The sequence below is a fragment of the Homo sapiens genome, chromosome 3, assembly GCF_000001405.40.
Source record: "Homo sapiens chromosome 3, GRCh38.p14 Primary Assembly".
Taxonomy (NCBI): domain Eukaryota; kingdom Metazoa; phylum Chordata; class Mammalia; order Primates; family Hominidae; genus Homo; species Homo sapiens.
The window spans coordinates 150171890-150184346 of record NC_000003.12 but is presented as its reverse complement, the minus strand read 5'-3'; the positions used below and the strand labels follow the sequence as shown (position 1 = coordinate 150184346).

The 12457-nt window shown below is 41.5% G+C and overlaps 1 annotated feature.

Moving 5' to 3' along the window:
• Nucleotides 3691-3985: a silencer, noted in NCBI's record as "tiled region #11247; K562 Repressive non-DNase unmatched - State 22:ReprW". NCBI's record gives its function as "represses a minimal TATA promoter and a strong SV40 promoter by Sharpr-MPRA in K562 cells {active_cell/tissue: K562}" and the evidence as "EXISTENCE:reporter gene assay evidence [ECO:0000049][PMID:27701403]".

Below are 12457 nucleotides of genomic sequence, written 5' to 3'. Positions count from 1 at the left end.
GGAGCTCCTTCTTTTCGTTCCTTCTTGACTCTCGCCAGCAGCGTGGGCCCCGCAGTTTCTCACAACCCTGAGCGGGTGCCCTTGCACTTCCCGCAGGACAAGGACGTCGCCGTCCACCACCCAGGAATTAATTCGCGATGTCTTTACTCTGGGGGAGGGTGCAGTGCTCCTTTCCCTCAGGACAGCTAAGAGGCTTAAGGGGTGTTCTAGTCAGCTTCATTCTTCTGCTTCTAGGCAAGCGTGAGATCAAATGATTTCGAACCTACAGTTCACTGCCTTTTCCTTAGAGACGGGAGGGAAGCGGAATCCATGAACTCCCACTTCAGCGACAACCTTGATTATAACCTTCTGAGTAGCAACTATCTCCCCCTAGCATACAAAGAAGGACTCAATACATTTTTTATTGTTTACTGAAAAAATAACATTACATCATCGTAGGGAAAAGGAAGAGAATTAGCAGGAGAAATGAGTAAATGATTGGTCTGTAATCCACATGTACTGGGGTCACTCTGCTCCTGACCAACCTACACCTCCACCCCCACAAAGCTGATAGTAAATTCCTAATGAGAATAGTCTCGGCTTCAGTGTTGCCTCTGCAAGGCAACCATTCATTCTCAAGCAGAGCCTCCATTCATCACCATATCCTCTGCTTTATTTTTCTCATGTATTTATCTGTTCAGTTATTTATTGTCTGTCACTCCATTAGATTGTGAGTTCCCATGGACTTTGTCTATCTAGTTCCAGGCATGGTCCTCATGCTCTGGAATAGTCCTAGGCACATATTGGGTGCTCAATGTTTGTGGAGTGAATGGTCCTGTGATTCCAAGCTCCATCTGGATCCATTTTGTTTATGGGTCTTCTCCTGCCTGTATATGCTGTCTGCATTCCACAGTTTGTCAACTTGTCTGTGGAACTGTAGCCCTTCCTTAGGTGCCCCTGAAAAACCTCCCATAGAAGGTGTCTTTGATGTGAAAACCTCCACTGAAAATTTGGGTAGACAGCGGGAGCTACATAGAGGTGACCAGACAGTCTAACGCTCAACATTCATGTTTCCTGGATTTAACAGTCTCGTCTCCATCCCCATCACTGAGACCATCCATAATGCCCCATCCCGTGGACCCCTCTGGCATCTCAGAGTCTTGCTGTCACCTCTCTCTTTTCATCTCTTTTCCTTTTTTCAACTCTTTTCATACTTTTATGCTGAATAACTCAATTCAACTCTTCCTAGATCCTTCTCTGAGCCCAGGTTTGCCCATCTAAAACCCATCAATGTACTAGCCAAACTACAGAGCAGTCTCCCTTAGAAAACCTAAAGTTCAGAGATAGAACAGTGTTTTCTTATAATAGCGCCCCCTTTTCTTTACAACTAAGATGTTCACCAGTTTATCTGATTCTGTTACTTTACCTTTCTGTCCCCCAAAATAGTTAGAATAAATACCCAGTGTCCTTCCTATCCTCCAACATTTTTAGCTAGAATAAAAGTGATTTAAAAGATGACAGATGGAGACCTTGAGGTAGATAAATAAACCACTAAAAGTATGGAGCCTAAGGCTAAGTGTAGAAGTGGCGAGAGACAGGGAAACTTTCTTTAACCTTGCCTTGATGATTGCCTAAGACGTAGGTGGGGTGTCTGTATTTATTAGCCTAAGATCTGTATTCATAGGTGGGAGGAGTTGAAAAGAGTCATCATTTAGATTCTTGAATTTCCTTTGCTCCCCATAAGCCTCCTCTGGCCTTTCACATGTGTTAAGTAAAACTAGCTGCTGAAACAGATACACCTATAATCTCAGAGATTTAATAAGGTTTATTTTCTATTCACATCAGAGTCCAAGACACATTGTATGGCCTTCCATGTGAACGTTCAGAGGCCCAGGCCCCTTCCACCTTGTGGTTCCTCTTCCTCTTCGTCCTCTCAGTAGCGGGCAGTTAGGGAAAGAGACTGGGAAATACATCTGCTTCTTACCCACTTGGCCATTTACAAAGCTCTTCTGCTCACATTTTATTGGGCGAACCAATTAATTGGCCCATATATGCGTAAAGGTTGATGAGGTTGGGAAATGTAGCCGCTGACTGGCTAGGAAGAACATGGGTTTTTGCAGTCAAATAGCTATGTTTGTCACACCCCTGAAAGCAAATTTTCATCTGGAGATTAGTCTCACGTCGTCGGACTTCTTACCTTTTTCTAGCATCATTTTTTATTGTTTTAAGCATGAGGCCTCTCTCCATCCCGTATAAGCCGCCCAAATGTTTCCCTTTCTCTCAGACTTGCACCCCACTTAACACCTTTCCTATCCCTGAAAAAGTTCATTTATTTGTAGGGGGGCGCATCTATACATTGACCTGTTTCTTGACTCTAGTCTTTCTGTCCTTGGCCAAGACTCTGTCTCTCTGTTTCTGACGCCTCTTCATGAATGCACTGTCGCAGTCTCAGGAGTCCTCAGGGCTCAAAAGAATCCTGATTCCCCCTGCTCAGCCAGGGGCTACATTTCCCAGCCTACCCTATCCATATACCCACTTATGGCTAGTTGGGCGATGTGACTGATTCTTACCAACGGAATGTGAGCAGAAGAGTTCTGTAAAAACCCACAGGGTTATGAAGCAGATGTGGATGGACACGGTGGCTCGCGCCTGTAATCCCAGCACTTTGGAAGGCCGAGGCGGGCGGATCATCTGAGGCCAGGAGTTTGAGACCAGCCTGGCCAACATGGCGAAACCCCGTCTCTACAAAAAATACAAAAAGTAGCCGGGCATGGTGGCGCATGCCTGTAGTCCCAGCTACTCGGGAGGCTGAGGCGGAAGAATCGCTTGAACCCAGGAGGCGGAAGAATCGCTTGAACCCAGGAGGCGGAAGAATCGCTTGAACCCAGGAGGCGGAAGAATCGCTTGAACCCAGGAGGCGGAAGAATCGCTTGAACCCAGGAGGCGGAAGAATCGCTTGAACCCAGGAGGCGGAAGAATCGCTTGAACCCAGGAGGCGGAAGAATCGCTTGAACCCAGGAGGCGGAAGAATCGCTTGAACCCAGGAGGCGGAAGAATCGCTTGAACCCAGGAGGCGGAAGAATCGCTTGAACCCGGGAGGCGGAAGAATCGCTTGAACCCGGGAGGCGGAAGAATCACTTAAACCCAGGGGGCGGAGGTTGTAGTGAGCTGAGATCGCGCCACTGCCGTCCAGCCTGGGCGACAGAGGGAGACTCGGTCTCAAAAAAAAAAAAAAAAAAAAAAAAGAAGCGGATGTACCGTCTCCTTAGTCACTTTCCCCATCTTCCAGCCACTGTGAGGAAGAAACCGCTAGGTGGAAGGGACAGGGGTCTGAATGGTCACATGGGCCATACAACCAGCCGTGGCCTGCTGCCCCACTTTTACGAGGGCGGCTTCACAGAATGGTATCGGATATAAGAAAGTTAGCCTCTGACACCATCTTATCTCCTTTCTGACTTCTGCTCTCTCATCTGGCCACTGTCCCCTGTTTTTCTAGATTAACCACTAAAAGCTTAAGGTATGAGCCTTTCAAAATTGTTTCTTTAATAAAATACTTGAAATTGGAAAAGACTTCAAAAATCATTCATGATATGGAATTATAGGCACCGTGATAGGGAGGGAGATAAAAATATTTTTGAAAAAGGTACTAGCCACAGCCTCTTAAATCTCCTACAGTGATCAATGTCTACCATTTATTGACATTACCACACACTATGGTAAGTACTACTACATGCTTTAATTGAATTTTTTCTACAAACTTAGAAGGTTGATTTAATGTTTGTCTTCTCTAACCTTTGGACATCTGAACTGAGAACTATTGCTGGGAAATCTGCCAAGCTGTCTCTCTCTCCTTTCCTTACTGGGTTTAAAACATCTGCTTATTTTCCTCAGGCATCATAGTTGCATTCTTTTCTCTCCATTCCACTGAACTAAACTGGTGTTTGAGAACATCTCTGTCTGTCTGCCGCCTATCTGCCTACCTATCTAGTTCTCTGTTCATGTTCAAAGTGATTTGAGGCAGTCTTCTTATACATATTTATAAATCCCACAGAACTTAACTGAGCCACTTTTCCATAGAATATGCTTAATAACCATATATTTGAATAATGGATGAATTCCAATTTTCTAAGTTTTACATTCTAACTACTCCTGTAGTTACTAAACCTAACTGGGTATCAGAATCAAGTAGGAGAATTTGTGGCTATATCAAGATTTCTGAGGTTGGGTTTTAGAAATCTTTATTTTTAACTACCACCCCAAGAGATTCTGAAGCAGCCAGCTTGTTTCCAGCCTGCAGACTGGCATTTGAAAACCAATGGACCACTTTGTCTTTCCTCACCCCAGAATCCTATAATATCTCTTTTTCCCTCCAGTATCCTTCCCGCCCTAGCCTTCTTCTCTCAGCAACCAAAAACCAGTAACTGAATTGGTTTATCCTGAGATTCTCACCATGAAACAAAGATATGTTCCCAAAGTCTTTAGCAAATAGCTCTGCTAGACATCAAAATGTTCCCCTACCAATCAGTTCTTATCTGCAAACAGGTGACCATTTCTACAACTCAGATAAAAACCTGAGATCTATTTCCGGGATACTTTTCACCATATTGCTTGTTTTACCCAGTGAGAGACTCTTTCAAGTCCCCACACTGAGTTTTGCCTCTTAGCTATCCTTCATATCTACTTAGTATTTGGGAATCCCTCATTCTCAGATGACCTGATTCTGCTGTTTTCTCATGCTGATCCTACCTGCAACATACTCTTCTGGGGAGCTTTTTGTAAAGAAGCTTTTAAAGTAGAACAAGCAGATTCAAGAAAACTGCCATCTGGTTTCCACGCTGCAGATGCCCACATGAGCCTTGAAAAATCTAGCTGGGGAGGAGGTGGAAGATCCTGTGGGCTGGCTGGTAAAGGAAGAAATGAGAAGGGGACCTTTTTTTCCCTTAATGTTCCTACAGTTGGACCAAATCACCATAATTTGAGACAGAGAGAGAGAGAATTATCACTATTAGGTGAAGAGTGTGGAACATCTAAAAGCTTAAGACAACAACCTTATTTTTATATTCTATAGTCTAGAGACACACATTGACCACCTTCGTAGCTCTTTAGAGATCCCCAAGAATGGAATTCTTATCTAATCATTCCCACTTTTTTTTCCTCTTGCTTTTGCTTTCTGGCCAAACTCCTGGTGTGACTAAAGGAACAAGATTTTCCAGCTATATGTATGCATGTATATACCATTTTAATTATATATATATATATATGAAATATGGGATTATTTTCTACATTTGCTAAAGACAAAGTAGAAGTCAGGCTATAAAAACTTAGTTTGATTTCTAAAATTTAGAGTTTTAGAGGTAAATGAAATCCTAGAGATTATCCAATCCAACCAGGCCTTTTGTAGGGGATAAAGTTGAAACTCAGAGAGACAAGTACATACTTGTTAGGTAGGATTCTATCCATGGTGGCCTCAGTGATAGGCCCCTCAGATCTCTCTTAAAGCAGAAAGATCATTGCTCTGCCACTGGGAGGGCAGTTGGCAGACAACTTTCAACTGTCAGCCTCGTTAGGGTTTGCCTCAGCTGCAGAGAGTAGCCTCACCCAGGATCAGGCGCTTCCTGGGGCAGCCCATATACAACAACTGATTGAGAGTATAAAGGCCCAACATTTTGACTTAATGAGGGACACCTTTATTGGCCTTTTTGTCTCCCAAGCTCCCTGTGGGGTTGGCTGAGGCTATCAGGCAGTCAGTGGGCCTGCTTTGTGGCTTGACTTCTCCCTGTGCTTTCCTCCCTAACCCCCACCCAGTGTTGATCGCAAGAGCACTACTCAATAAACTTCTTACACACTAACTTTTATCTTAGAGAGTGCTTCCCAAGGAACCCAACCTGGAATAAGAACCAAAATAAAAATTGTGTCTCCTAGCTCCTGCTAAAATGTTCGTGCTAGAAGTACGTGTGTGTGTGTGTGTGTGTGTGTGTCTGTGGGTGTGTCTGTGGGTGTATACGTGTTCATGTGTTTGGATGACTATGTGTCTGCATGCATTCTCTGTCTCCCTACTTCCTAAGAAACTTCCCATTTTGGGGGTGGGACTATAGCTCTTATTTTTCTCCATCATGCACTGCCAGGCTTTTGCCTCTCTAGCAAGATGGTGCTCATCTGGTCTAAATGAATGATTCATGTTGCTTAGCTCAGCTTGTACAAGATTAATAGCAAACTCACATCCTAGCAGTGAATGAGTGACTCATTGAGAAAGCAAAGATCACAAGAAGAGAACTGTAAGGATCCCTGTAGTCTTCTAGCTCATCTACTGATAGTGACCCCCAGAAAACCACTGGATGGTCACCCTCGTTATAGCCAGAGTACTCTATCAGACATCATAAAAAATGCTATATATTTTTATGTTTTCCCCACCTCTACCTCCTTCATGCTTTTGAAATTGCCTGTCCTCTATGAGCTAAGGCAACAGTAGGAAAGCCATCACTCCTTTGTGCCATCTCAGCTACCAGCCTCTCTCCTGGTTCCTTAGCTGCCCCTTGCCTCACCCCAAACAAGCTTGACTATGAGTCAAGGACAATTGCCCCCACACCCCACCAGCTAACCCTGGGCAATACTTCTTCCTTTTTCTTTATACCTTTCCCGTTTCACTGAGTATCTTTGACTAGCTGAATGATCTCGGATAGCTTGCTTAAGTTCTCTCACCCTCAGTGTCCTCATCTGGAAATGTGAATCATGGTACTACCTTGCAGGGTTGCTGTGAGGGCTGAACAAGATCATGGTGTGAAAGGTCAGGGCCCAAAGCTTTGGCCACAGTGGACATCCAACTCCCACAGCTCTTCCTTACTGGCAAGGAGTCTCCTGATCCAGTCTGTCTATGCTGTTAAACTTCCTTTCTCAAACACTGTCCTACCCTCTTCCATACACCTCCTCTTAGCAAAGGAAGAATAACATTCATAATGCTTTCTCCATTTTCCTAAGTTCAGAAGAAATGCCCAGGTTATATGATCAACTGGAAAATAAACATACGTGTACAGCGCATTACTTCAATAAGACCCAAACTTATCCAAAATTCTGTTGTTCTTAAGGGCATCTGTATCCATTATGCACATGTAAAATAGCTGCACATTTTAAAAATATTCTCACAAATTTGAAAGGGAATTCTAAATGTATACCACATTTTTAACCACTTTGCTGATTACTTAGGTATTTTCACCTCTCTCTGCCCTTGCTGTTTATTTCCCATGAACATTACATCGTAGGCGTATTGACACACAGACGTTTTAAAGTCTTCTCATTTTAAGCCATTCTTCCTTGAAGATTTCTCACCACTATCCCGTCTACTCCTCTTAAGAATGAAAATATCAGAGGGATAAGGGAACAAATCATATAACTAAAAAGAGAGTTACATATTTGATGAACAAATAGCGTTGTTGGGTTATAGAAAAGACAAGCTAGTGCTTTCAAATATGTGGCCATATTCTAACTCTAGAAGGCCCTGAATCTGTTTTTCAACTGAGGATAATGATGGGAAAGAAGAAACAGAAAAATACTGAGGAATGAAACTAGAGGGAAATATTTTAAAACTTGGTATGTATTTTTGGAGTAAAATTATAAAACTGAAAGTTGATAAATATGGCAAAGAAGAAAAAGAGCATATTATGAAAGATTTTCCTATGGCCTTGGTAATGCCATCTGCCTTATCAAACACATTTTAATGCCGGGACACTTTTATTTTTATTTCTAAGTTATTATCATTATATTTTATGTTGGAGAACTTATTTACCAATATCACAGTTATTTTGGATCAAATCCTATCCTCCAGGTTTCTAACAGGAATGTCAGAGAATAAAGAAATACAATGGTTTTGACAAAATCCACACAATGAGAATATAGGACATCCTTTTCCTATACTATAGAGTTTCAATACATTTGCTAAGCGGAATGAACATTTATGGAACATTAACTCTGTGCTGAGCACTGTTGTAAGAACTTACACATATTAGCTCATTTTTTTTTCACAAAACTCTTGTGAGCTGGGTACTTCACTTTACAGTTGCCTTACATTTTGCACATTATAGTTCTTCACTTGACAGTAGAAGAAACTGAGGTAGAGATGACTGTCATCTGGCAGGCAGCTATCTCTGCTTCCGGTTTTGACTCTGCCATGACTTGGGACATGAATTTGAGCCTCACAGTTCTGGACTGTCAGTTTCTCATCTGTAAGATGGAGATACTTCATTGAATCATCTCAAAGGACTCCTCTTCCTTGAAAATACCCTGATTTGGGGCTTCTATGTTTTGGTCCTAGGAAACTACATTTTGGAATTCCTAAAACATTTTTTGTTATTTTTTTAATGGAAAATGAAGACTATTGTGATTAAAACCTCAGCATTTGTCAAGGTACAGAATGGTGTTGCCTGCGGAGTTTGTCTTGGGAATGATGAATTAATTTGTTATTTATTTTGCCCTATTCTGCTATCCAACATTAGAACTTATAACTTCTGGAACACTAACTGTATGTTTTTTTCCCGTAAATTACTGGGGTACAGGTGGTGTTTGGTTACATGAGTAAGTTCTTTAGTGGTGATTTGTGAGATTTTGGTGCATCCATAACCCATGTATACACTGCACCATATTTGTAGTCTTTTATCCCTCGCCCCCCTCCCACTCTTCCCCTCAAGTCCCCAAGGTCCGTTGTATAATTCTTATGCCTTTGCATCCTAATAGCTTAGCTCCCACATATCAGTGAGAACATACGATGTTTGGTTTTCCATTCCTGAGTTACATCACTTAGAATAATAGTCTCCAATCTCATCCAAGTCAATGCAAATGCTGTTAATTCATTCCTCTTTATGGCTACATAGTATTCCATCATATATATATATATCACAGTTTCTTATTGATTGATGGGCATTTGGGTTGGTTCCACGATTTTGCAATTGTGAATTGTGCTGCTATAAACATGCGTGTCCAAGTATCTTTTTCGAATAATGACTTCTTTTCCTCTAGGTAGATAACCAATAGCAGGATTGTGGGATCAAATGGTAGTTCTGCTTTTAGTTCTTTAAGGAATCTCCGCTGTTTTCCATAGTGGCTATACTAGTTTAAATTCCCACCAGCAGTGTAGAAGTGTTCCCTGTTCACCACATCCACGCCAACATCTACTGTTTTTTGATTTTTTGATTATGGCCATTCTTGCAGGAGTAAGGCGATATTGCATTATGGTTTTGATTTGCATTTCCCTGATCATTAGTGATGCTGAGCATTTTTTCATTTGTTTGTTGGCCATTTGTATATCTTCTTTTGAGAATTGTCTATTCATGTCCTTAGCCCACTAAGGGCTAAGGGATTGTTTGTTTTTTTTTTTTTTCCTTACTGATTTGGTTGAGTTTGTTGTAGATTCTGGATATTAGTCCTTTGTCAGATGTATAGATTGTGAAGATCTTCTCCCACTGTGGGTTGTCTATTTACTCTGCTGACTATTCCTTTTGCCGTGCAAAAGCTCTTTACTTTAATTAGGTCCCAGCTATTTATCTTTGTTCTTGGGTTCTTGCTTTTGGGATCTTGGTCATGAAATCCTTGCTTAAGCCCATGTCTAGAAGGGTTTTTCCAATGTTATCTTCTAGAATTTTTATAGCTTCAGGTCTTAGGTTTAAGTCCTTAATCCAGGAAATGATGAATTTATATTTCAAGCAGGAAAGAATAAGAAATTGGGTCAATGTACTTCAAAAGAGAAAATATATGTAAAAGCTTAGAAGAGGGTAGGATGTGGAAAATATTTCAAGGATAGGTAAGTGAGGGATAAGGGAGGGGAGTTGAACATCACAACATATTTTTCCTTTGAGAAGACCATCTGCTGAAATTCTGAACATGAGAACAAAGTGGGATTTGAAGGATCTGGAATAAATGAAGTGAAAGAAATGCTGAGAAATCTTTAGACTGAGCAATTTCTAGACAAGTGAAGGGAAGTCATGTGACTTGTCCTGCTGGTCCATCCAACCAAAGTATGTGAGTTCTTAGACAGCAAACTATGCTGAGAGCTCTCTGACTGAAAGGGTGTGATTCAAGGAACACAGTAACAGAGAGCCCCACAGCAAGGGGCTTGGAAGGATGTTGAGGAGTGCAGGCATTTGGCACATAGGAACCGAAATAGGAACAAGGAGTGTGGATTATATTACACAGAATGAAACAGCATTTTAGATGAGGAAACTATAGAACATTAAAACTTCTAAGATCTTATATGTCATTTTCTTCTCCTGCTTCCTCTCACAGATGAGAACACTGAGGCCCAGTAAAGTGAAGGGACTTTACAAAGCTCAGTGTCCTTGAAACCAATGTATTGAGGATGAAAAGCAGCATGAATTTTAGGAACAGATTTAACATTCAAAAAATACTCTCTTTTGCTCCCTTGAATATAGAAATATGTTTTTCTTAAAGAATGCACTAAGTGGTAATCCTTGGACCCTTCAGAAATCATTTTGAAGGTTATACTATTAATTTATCATGTCTTCTAAACTGCCAATGTGTTTTCCTTATGTAAGGAATTATGAATCAGCTTAATTAACAAGCTTATCTGTATTGTTTGTATAGTGCCTAGTTTAGGGTAACATTAAAAACAAAAGCTATTTTAAAACACAAGAATTAAAGCAACAGAAAAGCATTTATTTTAAAAATCTACCAAACACAAAAACCCTCCTTAGAAGAAGCAGCAATGATGCAAGGGCCTGAGAAGCTAAATAAAAGGAAAAGAAAATCTACCCATGGTTATTTTTAGCAGTTGTAGTTTTAAAATTTTATGTGGCTAAAGTAAAAAGTAATCCATCAGAATGGAAATTGATTAATCACCAAAAAATAAAGAATAAAATGGTTTGTGTTTTCAGTGACTTAAAGAATGTTTTAATCTAGCTGCCAGATCTACAACCTACTATAGTTCTTCACATCTCATGTTTCAAAAATGGCCAAATCTGCAAAGAGGAAAATAGAAAAATGCTTTGAAAGCATTTTTTTATAATTAGAAACTCAGATTTCAAGTGAGTCCCCAGAGCCTATCTCCAATAGCCAGTGTAGAGTCCATGACATGGATCTAAGGGATGGATCTGGGGCATCTTTCATTTCCTCTTCTATCTTAAATCAGACTGTCACTAACATTTGGTCCTGCCTTTGCAAGAGGAGCCAGTTTCCATCCCTGCTTTTTGGCTCCTGATTCTTCATGAGGGCTCTTGAAAATACATGCTCCAGGCACTGTAAGAAGGCCAGGAATGAAGGGCTTTGGAACAGAAAAGGGGCCTTTGTGTTTGCCTTAGTTTGTTCCTGCTGCTATAACAAAATACCCAAGACTGGATAATTCATAAACAGCAGATATTTATTTCCCATGGTTTTGAAGGCTGGAAGTCCAGAATCAAGTGCCAGCAGGTTCCACGTCTGCAGAGAGTCTGGTCTCTGCTTCTAAGATGGTGTCTTGATGCCACATCCTCTGGAGGGAATGAACACTGTGTCCTCACAGGGCAGAAGGGATGGAAAGGCAAAAAGGGCTGAACACTGTGTGAAGCTTCCTTTCATAAAGACCTTAATTCCATTAACAACTGAAGAGTCCTCATGACCTAATCTCTTCCTAAATGCTCCACCTCTTAATACTATGGCTTTGGGGGATTAAGTTTCTATATGAATTTTGGAGGAGACAGAGACATTCAAACAACAGCAGCCTTCTTTCCCTTTGATTGAAGAAAGAAACTAGCAGTCCAGTGGCCTCTGGCATGCAGAGCCTGTGGGCAGCATCTGCCCCTGTGGAGAGGAGAGGAGGGAAGATGTCGTGGCTGACATTCTTCTTGACCCTTGAGGCTGCTCTTCACTGCCCTGGCATTTCTCCTAGTCAGGCCAAAAGCAAAGAGCTGACTGCAACGAGCTGAACAACCTGTCTTTGGAAGGAAGTCTCTCCTGATGGCTTTGAGGACCCAAGTGGAATGAGTATCATAGGCAAATGCTGTAAGTTGGGATTTGGGCCATTTCAGAGAATCAGATACCTCTTGCACATATCCTTTTTGAGAGTAGCCTTAAGTGCCATGTTACCCCATCTGTAGCTGCCCAGTGGCTCTTGGGGCCATTCAGACAACAGCTATTCCTACAGTCAAACTTTTTCCTGTTTGAGAAGAGGGTCCAGACATACTGAAGAGTAGTTTTGAGCTTGTCCTTTGCAGGGCTTACTGAGAGCGTCAAAATTACTTGCAAATTGGCCTGGAGAGTTTACAGCTAAGAGTTTTAGTAAAGATTTCTCTTTCAAATTCATCTCTTTGTCTGTACCATAGCTTTTTTCAGCTACCAGTGTTTCTCCTCTGGATTACTGTGACACTCTTAATTGATCTTATTGCCTCAAAGCCCTTCTCTTCTGTATCACCTGAAGAATGTTCTGGAATCACTGATCTGCCTCCTGCGCTCATAGCCTTGCACTACCTACCACTTGTTTTCTGCTGGGCATCAATGTCCT